At 47.4% G+C, this 10,966-nt stretch overlaps 3 annotated features.

Moving 5' to 3' along the window:
* Nucleotides 10,091-10,385: an enhancer, noted in NCBI's record as "tiled region #7554; HepG2 Activating DNase unmatched - State 12:CtcfO, and K562 Activating DNase unmatched - State 5:Enh". NCBI's record gives its function as "activates a minimal TATA promoter and a strong SV40 promoter by Sharpr-MPRA in HepG2 and K562 cells {active_cell/tissue: HepG2 | K562}" and the evidence as "EXISTENCE:reporter gene assay evidence [ECO:0000049][PMID:27701403]".
* Nucleotides 10,091-10,486: a biological region, named in NCBI's record as "CRISPRi-validated cis-regulatory element chr12.2135". NCBI's record gives its function as "regulatory_interactions: CNPY2".
* Nucleotides 10,112-10,486: a transcriptional cis regulatory region, noted in NCBI's record as "candidate enhancer chr12.2135 targeted for multiplex CRISPR interference". NCBI's record gives its function as "positively regulates CNPY2 gene expression in K562 cells {active_cell/tissue: K562}" and the evidence as "EXISTENCE:mutant phenotype evidence [ECO:0000015][PMID:30612741]".

Here is a 10,966-nt window from a genome sequence, read left to right as displayed (position 1 = left end):
GCACTTGTTGCCCAGGCTGGAGTGCAATGGCGCGATCTTGGCTCACTGCAACCTCAGCCAAGGAATTCGGGCAGCCTCTAGAAGCTGAAAAGGGAAGGAAATAGATTCTCCCCTAGGGCGTCCAGAAGGAACCCATCTTCACCAACACCTTGTAGTCCTGTAAGGCCCGTTTCAGATTCTGACCTCTAGAACTATAAGATAATAAAACTGGCCGGGCACGGTGGCTTACGCCTGTAATCCCAGCACTTTGGGAGGCCGAGGCGGGTGGATCACGAGGTCAAGAGATCGAGGCCATCCTGGACAACATGGTGAAACCCGTCTGTACTTAAAAAATACAAAAAATTAGCCGGGTGTGGTGGTGTGCACCTGTAATCCCAGCTACTTGGGAGGCTGAGGCAGGAGAATCACTTGAACCCGGGAGGCGGAGGTTGCAGTGAGCTGAGATCACGCCATTGCACTCCAGCCTGGGCAAAAAGAGCAAAACTCTGTCTCAAAAAAATAAAACTAAAATAAATAATAATAATAATAAAACTGAGTTTGTGGTAATTTGTTACAGCACCGAGAGGAAACAAATACAACTGCCTGCCACCTGCATCCTTCTCATGCGCCCCCATACATGCATGCATGCATGCATTCATTCATTCAGTGTTATGTGTTGCTCCAAACACTGAGGACACAGGAGAACAAGAGACAGGTTTCTGCCTTCAAGGGGCTTACATTCTAGAGAGTGCAGACAGCCAATGAACAACTCAGGAAATAACTTCAGTAGTAAGTGGCATGAAGAAAACGAAACAAGATACTGGGAAAGTGACCACTGCTGCTCACCTGGAGGAGTTAATTTAGACAGAGTGGTCAAGAAGGGGGGTCTCTGAGGCAGTGTCATTTGCACTAAGCTTTAAATAAGAAGGAGCCAGTTTTGTGTTGACCTGAAAGAAGAGCATTGCTGGCAGAGCAACTAGTGAGGGGATAAGGTCTGAAGGAAGAATGAGCTTGGAGGGTCTGAGGAACAGAAAGGAGGCCAGTGTGGTGGAACAGAAAGAATCATGGGGAGGCCATGGCAGAGGAGGTGGTTAGAGAGGAAGGGAGGGGCCAGACCATGCAGGGGCATATATACCACAGTAAGGAGTGTACATTTTAATTACAGAGAGAAGCTTAAGAATTTCAGTGGGGGAGTGATGAGATTGTATTTTTTTTTTTTTTTTGAGACAGAGTCTTGCTCTGTCGCCCAGGCTGGAGTACAGTGGCTTGATCTTGGCTCACTGCAATCTCCGCCTCCTGGGTTCAAGCAATTCTCTTGTCTCAGCATCCTAAGTAGCTGGGATTACAGACAAGTGCCACCACACCTGGCTAATTTTTGTATTTTTAGTAGAGACGGGGTTTCACCATGTTGTCCAGGATGGTCTCGATCTCTTGACCTCATAATCCACCGCACTAGTCTTGGCCTCCCAAAGTGTTTGGATTACAGGCATAAGCCACTGCACCTGGCCGTTTTTTTTTTTTTGTTTTTTTTTTTGTTGTTGTTTTGTTTTTTTTTTGAGATGGAGTCTAGCTCTGTTGCCCAGGCTGGAGGGCGGTGGTGTGATCTCGGCTCACCACAACCTCCGCCTCCCAGGTTCAAGCGATTTTCCTGCCTCAGCCTCCTGAGTAGCTGGGACTACAGGCATGTGCCACCACACCTGACTAATTTTGTATTTTTAGTAGAGATGGGGTTTCACTATGTTGGCCAGGCTGGTCTCAAACTCCTGACCTCATGATCTACTGCCTTGGCCTCCCAAAGTTCTGGGATTACAGGCGTGAGGCCCCACTCCCAGCCCTTTTTTTTTTTCTTTTTTAAGAGTCAGGATCTTGCTCTGTTGCCCAGACTGGAGTGCAGTGGCACTATCTTGGCTCACTGCAGCCTCGACCTCCCAGGCTCAAGGGATCCTCCCACCTCAGCCTCCCCAATAGCTGAGACTACAGTCATACACCACCACACCTGGCTAATTTAAAAAATTTTTTTTGTAGAGACGAGGTTTCACCATGTTGATCAGACTGGTCTGGGACTCCTGGGCTTAAGGGATCCTCCTGCAGCACTGGCATTACAGGTGTGAGCCACTGCACCTGGCAGTGGTTTGCTTTTTAAAATAATCAGCCTTCGCTGGGTGTGGTGGCTCATGCCTGTAATCCCAGCACTTTGGGAGGCAGAGGCGGATGGATCACTTGAGGTCAGGAGTTCAAGACCAGCCTGGCCAACATGGTGAGACACCCATCTCTGCTAAAAAAAAAAAAAAAAAAAAAAAAAAAAAAAATCAGCTGGGTGTGGTGGCACATGCCTATAATCCCAGCTACTTGGAGACTAAGGCAGGGGAATCGCTGAACCTGGGAGGTGGAGGTTGCTGTGAGCCAAGATTGCACCACTGCATTCCAGCCTGGGTGATAGAGTGAGACTCTGTCTCAGAAACTAAACTAAACTAAAACAATCAGTCTTGTTGCTGTGTGGTAAAAGAACTGTGGTGGACAAGAATAGAGGCAAGAAGGCCAGGTAGGAGGCCCCAATATAATCTAGGTGAGAGATAATGGTGGCCTGAACAAGTACCACAGCACTGAAAAAGAAATCTCTCTTCCATTTGCCCTCCAGTCACCCATTTCTTTTCCCTGGAGGCAACAACTGTTAATAGTTTCTTGAGAATCATTCTGGAAATATTCCATGCACAAACATAGCAAATGCATGTGTAATTTTTTTTTTTTTTTTTAGACGGAGTCTCGCTCTGTCGCCCAGGCTGGAATGCAGTGGCATGATCTTGGCTCATTGCAACCTCCGCCTCCAGGTTCAAGCGATTCTCCTGCCTCAGCCTCCTGAGTAGCTGGGACTACAGGCGTATGCCACCATGTCCGGCTAATTGTTTGTATGTTTAGTAGAGACGGTTTCACCATGTTAGCCAGGATGGTCTCAACCTCCTGACCTCCTGATCCGCTTGCCTCGGCCTCCCAAAGTGCTGGGATTACATGCTGTAATTGTTTTTTAAGAGGAGAATTTAGAAAGATTACTAGAAAACGGTCGGGCATGGTGGCTGACGCCTGTAATCCTAGCACTTTGGGAGGCTGAGGCGGGCGGATCACAAGGTCAGGAGATCGAGACCATCCTGGCCAACATGGTGAAACCCTGTCTCTATTAAAAATATAAAAATTAGGCCAGGCACGGTGTTTCACGCCTGTAATCTCAGCACTTTGGGAGGCCGAGGCAGGTGGATCACAAGGTCAGGAGTTCAAGACCAGCCTGGCCAACATGGTGAAACCCCTTCTCTACTAAAAATACAAAAATTAGTCGAGTGTGGTGGCGGATGCCTGTAATCCCAGCTACTTGAGAGGCTGAGGCAGAGGATTGCTTGAACCCGGGAGGCGGAGGTTGCAGTGAGCCGAGATCACGCAACTGCATTCCAACCTGGGCGACAGAGTGAGACTCTGTCTCCAAAAAAAAAAAAAAAAAAAAAAAAAATTAGCTGGGCGTGGTGGTGGGTGCCTGTAATCCCAGCTACTCAGGAGGCTGAGGCAGGAGAATGGCGTGAACCCGGGAGGCGGAGGTTGCAGTGAGCCAAGATCGCGCCACTGCACTCAGGCCTGGTGACAGAGCAAGACTCTGTCTCAAAAAAAAAAAAAAAAGAAAAGAAAGATTACTAGAAAATTAGCTGGGCATGGTGGCACATGCCTGCAATCCCAACTACTCGGGAGGCTAAGGCAAGAAGAATCGCTTGAACCCAGGAGGCAGAGGTTGCAGTGAGCTGAGATGGTGCCACTGCTCTTCAATCTGGCAAGAGTGAGACTCCATCTCAATAAAAAACCCCCAAGAAACAAAAACAAAAAAGAATGATTACTAGAAGTGTATCTTGTTTATAGAGTCATAGAGAGCTTGTTGTGTTTATACAGAAATGATTATCTTTCCTAGATAAAACTGTCCCTAGAGTAGAGGAGCAATTTACTACTCCAGCCCTAATCCTGTGCTGATGAAACAAGCCTTAGTTTTATAGTTTGGTCTCCTGAGTTAACTTCCCGGATAGGAGGGACTATCCCAAGAAAGTGACTGATGTTAGTTGTTTATTTTTTTTGAAATGGAGTCTCGATCTGTCGCCCAGGCTGGAGTGCAGTGGTGAGATCTCGGCTGACTGCAACCTCTGCCTCCTGGATTCAAGCAGTTTTCTACCTCAGCCTCCCGAGTAGCTGGGATTACAGGTGCCTGCCACCATGCCCGGCTAATTTTTCGTATTTTTAGTAGAGACGGGGTTTCACTTCTTGGCTAGGCTGGTCTTGAACTCCTGACCTCGTGATCCACCTGCCTCAGCTTCCCAAAGTACTGGGATTACAGGTGTGAGCCACCACGCCCAGCCTGGTTTACCTATTTATTTTGATCGTTATTTTAGAGTGTACTCTTTCTGCTTAAAAGAAACAAGTTGGTCAGGCACAGTGACTCATACCTGTAACCCCAGCACCTTAGGAGGCCGAGGTGGGTGGATCACCTGAGGTCAGGAGTTCAAGACCAGCCTGGCCAACATGGTGAAATCCCCATCTCTACTAAAAATACAAAAAATTAGCCGGGCATGGTGGCGCACACCTGTAGTCCCAGCTACTTGGAAGGCCAAGGCAGGAGAATCGCTTGAAGCCAGGAGACAGAGGTTGCAGCGAGTTGAGATTGTGCCATTGCACTCCAGCCTGGACAACAAGAACAAAACTCCGTCTCAAAAAAAAAAAAAAAGAAAAAAAAAAAAGAAACCAGTTAACTGTGAAACAGCCTCCGGCAGGTCTTTAGGAGGTATTCCAGAAAAAGGCATGTTATCACAAAAGGTGAGTGTTATTGCCCCTGAAGATCTTCCAGTGGGACAAGATGTGGAGGTGGGAGGCCCAGGCGGGTGGATTGATGATCCCGTCCCTGGGTAGGCCTAGGCTAATGTATGTGTTCATGTCTTAGTTGTCTTTTCCTTTTTTTTTGAGATGGAGTCTCGCTCTGTCACCCAGGCGAGAGTGCAGTGGCACAATCTCGGCTCACTGCAAGCTCTGCCTCCCGGGTTCATGCCATTCTCCTGCCTCAGCCTCCCGAGTAGCTGGGACTACAGGCGCCTGCCACCACGCCTGGCTAATTTTTTTGTATTTTTAGTAGAGACGGGGGTTTCACTGTGTTAGCCAGGATGGTCTCGATCTCCTGACCTCGTGATCTGCCCACCTCGGCCTCCCAAAGTGCTGGGATTACAGGCGTGAGCCACCGTGCCTGGCCTCTTTTCTTTTCTTTTGAGAAAAGGTCTTCCTCTGTTGCCCAAGCTGGAGTGCACTGGTGTGATCTCAGCTCACTGTAATGTCTGCCTCTGGGCTCAAGCGATCCTGTCACCTTACCCTTCCGAGTAGCTGGGACGAGAGAGGCACACGCTACCATACCTGGCTATTTTTTTTTTTTTTTTTTTTTTTTGTAGAGACAGGGGTTTCACCATGTTGCCCAGGCTGGTCTTGAACTCCTGGACTCAAGCAGTCCTCCCATCCTGGCCTTCCCAAAGTGCTGGGATTATAGGCATGAGCTACCGTGCCCGGACATGTCTTAGTTTTTATTTTTATTTTTTATTTTTTGAGACAGAGTTTTGCTTTGTCACCCAGGCTGGAGTGCAGTTGCGCCATTTCGGCTCACTGGAACCTCTGCCTCCTGGGTTCAAGCGATTATTGTGCTTCAGCCTCCCGAGTAGCTGAGATGACAGGTGCGTGCCACCATGCCTGGCTATTTTTTTGTACTTTAGTAGACACAGGGTTTCACCATGTTGCCCAGGCTGCTCTCGAATTCCTGGCCTCAAGCAATCCACCCACCTTGGTCTCCCAAAGTGCTGGGATTACAGGTGTGAGGCACTGCGCCCGGCCCATGTCTTAGTCTTTAATAATTTTTTTTTTTTTTGAGACAGAGTCTTGCTCTGTTGCCAGGCTGGAGTGCAGTGGCAGGATCTCGGCTCACTGCAACCTCTGCCTCCCAGGTTCAAGTGATTCTTCTACCTCAGCCTCCCGAGTAGCTGGGACTATAGACGCACACCACCACGCCCAGCTAATTTTTGTATTTTTAGTAGAGATGGGGTTTCACCATGTTGGCCAGGATGGTCTCAATCTCTTGACCTTGTGATCTGCCTGCCTCGGCCTCCCAAAGTGCTGGAATTACAGGCGTGAGCCACTGCACCCGGCCAAAAAAAATTTTAAGTAAAAAGATCAAGAATTTTTAAAATAGAAAAAAGCTTATAGAATAAAGATATAAAGAAAGAAATATTTTTGTACAGCTGTACAAAGTGTTTGTGTTTTAAACTGTTATTACAAAAGAGTTAAAAAGGTAAAACAGTTGATAAGTCTATAAAGTAAAATAATTATAGTAACCTGGTGCCAGAGGCAGTGGCTCGTGCCTGTAATCCCAGCACTTTCAGAGGCCAAGGTGGGAGGATTGCTTGAGCTCAGAAGTTCAAGACAAGCCTCCCCTGCTAGTTGAGTGAGATCTCGTGTCTACAAAAACAAACAAACAAACAAAAAACAACAACAACAAACAAACAAGAAAAGAAAAGGAAAATTAGCCAAGCATGATGGAGCATGCCTGTAGTCCCAGTACTCAGGAGGCTAAGGCAGGAAGATCCATTAAGCCTGGGAGGTAGAGGCTGTAATGACCCATGATTGTGCCACAGCACTCAAGTGTGGGTGACAAGAGTAAGACCCTGTCTCCAAAAAAAAAAAAAAGAAAGAAAAAAAAAGTTACAGTAAGCTAAGGTTAATTTATTATTGAAGAAAAAATATTTAAAACAAATTTGCTGAGCACGGTGGCTCACGCCTGTAATCCCAGCACTTTGGGAAGCCGAGGCAGGCGGATCACGAGGTCAGGAGTTTGAGAGCAGCCTGACAAACATGGTGAAACCCCGTCTCTACTAAAAATACAAAAATTAGCTGGGCATGGTGGCACACTCCTGTAATTCCAGCTACTCCAGGAGACTGATGCAGGAGAATCGCTTGAACCCAGGAGATGGAGGTTGCAGTGAGCCGAGATCGCGCCACTGCACTCCAGCCTGGGCGACAGAGCGAGACTGCATCTCAAAAATAAAAAATAAAATAAATAAATAAATAAATAAATAAATTTAATGTAGCCTAAGTGTACAGTCTTTATAAAGTCAATGGTAGTATACAGTTATATCCTAGGCCTTCACATTCACTCACTACTCACTGACTCACCCAGAGCAGCATCTAGTCTGGCAAACTCCATTTATGGTAAGCACCCCATGCAGGTGTACCATTTTTAATCTTTTTTTTTTTTTTTTTGAGACACAGTCTCACTCTGTCACCCGGGCTGGAGTGCAGTGGTGTAATCTTGGCTCACTGCAACCTCCGCCTCCTGGGTTCAAGCGATTCTCCTGCCTCAGCCTCCGGAGTAGCTGGGGTTACAGCCGCCTGCCACTATGCCTAGCTAATTTTTTGTATTTTTAGTAGAGATGGGGTTTCACCATGTTGGTCAGGCTGGTCTCAAACTCCTGACCTCGTGATTCACCTGTCTCAGCCTCCCAAAGTGCTGGGATTACAGGCGTAAGCCACTGCGCCCTGCCCATTTATTTATTTATTTATTTATTTATTTATTTATTTATTTATTGAGACAGAGTCTCACTCTGTCGCCCAGGCTGGAGTGCAATAGTGCGATTTCGGCTGACTGCAAACTCTGCCTCCCGGGTTCAAGTGATTCTCCTGCCTCAGCCTCCCGAGTAGCTGGGATTACAGGTGCCCACCACCACACCCAGCTAATTTTTGTATTTTTTGTAGAGACAGGGTTTCGCCAGCTTGGCCAGGCTGGTGTTGAACTCCTGACCTCAGGTGATCCACCCGCCTCAGCCTCCCAAAGTGCTGGGATTACAGGCATGAGCCATCGTGCCCGGCCCATTTATTTGTATTTTTTGAGATAGAGTCTCGCTCTGTTGCCCAGGCTGGAGTGCTGTAGCGTGATCTCGGCTCAGTGCAACCTCTGCCTCCCGGGTTCAAGCAATTCTCTGCCTCAGCCTCCCAAGTAGCTGGGATTACAGGCGCTAACCACCACAACCAGCTAATTTTTTGTATTTTTAGTAGAGATGGGATTTCACCATGTTGGCCAGGCTGGTCTTGAACTCCTGACCTCGTGATCCACCCGCCTCGGCCTCCCAAAGTGCTAGGATTACTGGCGTGAGCCACTGAGCCCGGCCCATTTTTAATCTTTTATGCCATAGTTTTACTGTTCGTTTCCTTCCTTCCTTCCTTCCTTCTTTCCTCCCTCCCTCCCTCCCTCCCTCTTTCTTTCTTTTTTTTCTCAAGATGGAGTCTTGCTTTGTTGCCTAGGCTGGAGTGCAATGGCGCGATCTTGGCTCACTGTAACCTTCGCCTCCAGGGTTAAAGCAATTCTCCTGCCTCAGCCGCACAAGTAGCTGGGACTACAGATACCTGCCACCACGCCTGGCTAATTTCTGTATTTTTAGTAGAGACGGGGTTTCACCATGTTGGTCAGGCTGGTCTTAAACTCCTGGTCTCAAGAAATCAGCCCGCCTCAGCCTCCCAAAGTGTTGGGATTACCAGCATGAGCCACAGTGCCTGGCCTACTGTATCTTTTCTATGTTTAGATACACAAATATCATTATGTTACAATTGCCTACAGCGTTGAGTACAGTAGCATGCTGCATAGGTTGGTAGCCTGGGAGTAATAGACTCTACCATATGGCCTTGGTGTGTAGTAGACTATACCATCTAGGTTTGTGTAAGTACACTCTAAGATGTTCATATGACAAAACTGCCTAAGGATGAATTTCTCAGAACATATCCCTGTTCTTGAGGACACATGACTCTATTTACATATGAGAAAAGAAAGCATATGTCCACACAGACTTTGTACACAAATGTTTGTAGCAAGTTTTTTTTCTTTTTCTTTTTTTTTTTTTTTTGAGTCTCACTCTGTCACGCAGGCTGGAGTGCAGTGGCACGATCTGGGCTCACTGCAACCTCCACCTCCCGGGTTCCGGCAGTTCTCCTGCCTCAGCCTCCCAAGTAGCTGGGATTATGGGCGCCTGCCACCATGCCTGGCTAATTTATATGTTTTTAGTATACACACATATATACTGTGGGATTCCATTTATGTACGATTCTACAATTCTAGAAATGCAAACTAATCTATAGTTGCAGAAAGCAGGTCAGTGGTTGCCTGGGGACAGTGCTGGGAGTGGCAGGATGGTGAGATTACAAAGGAGCAAGAGGCAACTTCTGGGGTGATCTATATGTTAATTATCTTGAGTATGGTGATGGTTTCATGGGTATACACTTGGGTATATGTCAAAACTTCGGCCAGTCGCAGTGGCTCATGCCTGTAATCCCAGCACTTTGGGAGGCGGAGGCAGGCTGATCATGGGGTCAGGAGTTCAAGACCAGCCTGGACAACATGGTGAAGCCCCGTCTCTACTAAAAATACAAAAATTAGTGGGCCTCGTGGCACATGACTGTAATCCCAGCTACTCGGGAGGCTGAGGCAGTATAATTGTTTGAACTTGGGAAGCGGAGGTTGTAGTGAGCCGAGATGGCGCCATTGCACTCCAGCCTGGGTGACAGAGTGAGAGTCTGTCTCAAAAAAACAAACACAAAACTTTTCAAATTGTACACGTTAAATACCTACAATGTATTATACTTCAATTATCCTCAATAAATCTGCAAAAAAACACTGATTTTTTTTTTAAGACTTACAGAGTAAGACTGGGCCAAAAATAGTAACCACTGCCATTTGTAATGTTGCATTATCTGGCAGGTTCTTTTTTTTCTTTTTTTTTTGAGACGGAGTCTCGCTCTGTCGCCCAGGCTGGAGTGCAGTGGCGTGATCTCGGCTTACTGCAAGCCCCGCCTCCCGGGTTCACACCATTCTCCTGCCTCAGCCTCCCGAGAAGCTGGGACTACAGGCACCCGCCACCACGCCCGGCTAATTTTTTTTTTGTATTTTTTAGTAGAGATGGGGTTTCGCCATGTTAGCCAGGATGGTCTCGATCTCCTGACCTCGTGATCCACCCGCCTCGGACTCCCAAAGTGCTGGGATTACAGGCGTGAGCCACCGCGCCCGGCCTATCTGGCAGGTTCTTTGCAAAGTCCTTTGCAAAGATTATTTCATTTAGTTCTCAAAATGTTCTTGTGAAGTGTTTTTAAATTAATTTTTGGAGGTTTAGATAGAGTAACTTGCCCAAAGCTACACACAAAGCTACCAAAGAGCGAAGGAAGGACTCAAACTTAGGTCTGTCAGACTCCGAAGCTGGGCTCTTAACTCCTGCACGACACTGCCCTCTATGGTCATCCCGAGGTACTAACATCAATGAGGCCTGGTTAACTACTCATGACATCATCTTTAACTGTAGCCTGAGAAAGTCACCCAATTTTCTTTTTCTTTTTTTTTTTTTCCAGAAAGAATTTCGCACTTTCGCCAGGCTGGAGTGCAGTGGCATGATCTTGGCTCACTGCAACCTCCACTTCCAGGTTCAAACTATTCTCCTGCCTCAGCTTCCCAAGTAGCTGGGATTATAGGCGCGTGCCATCACGCCCGGCTAATTTTGTATTTTTTAGTAGAGATGGGGTTTCCCCGTGTTGGTTAGGTTGGTCTCAAACTCCTGACCTTAGGTGACCCACCCGCCTCAGCCTCCCAAAGTGTTGGGATTACAGCCGTGAGCCAGGGCGCCTGATCCGGAAGTCACCTTTCATTCAGAGTGCCTGAATCAGGGTAAATAGTGCATTATACTAGAAAAAAGGATGTGTCTTCAGGACTTCTTTCTGGGGTCCAGGGATGTGGGAGGGAGACTGTATTCCTCTTCCCCACCCCAATCGATCTCCTCCTCTCCTAGTGCTCCCCACACCCCTCCCAATGTTTCTGGGCCTATCTCACCTTGCTGCCTTCCCACACATTCTCATATTTCAGAAATGATGAGTCCAACACTGATCTAAGAGAGTAGAGAGAAAA

Source organism: Homo sapiens, chromosome 12 (assembly GCF_000001405.40).
Source record: "Homo sapiens chromosome 12, GRCh38.p14 Primary Assembly".
Taxonomy (NCBI): domain Eukaryota; kingdom Metazoa; phylum Chordata; class Mammalia; order Primates; family Hominidae; genus Homo; species Homo sapiens.
The sequence above is the reverse complement of the archived record's forward strand: the minus strand, read 5'-3'. Positions and strand labels throughout refer to the sequence as shown.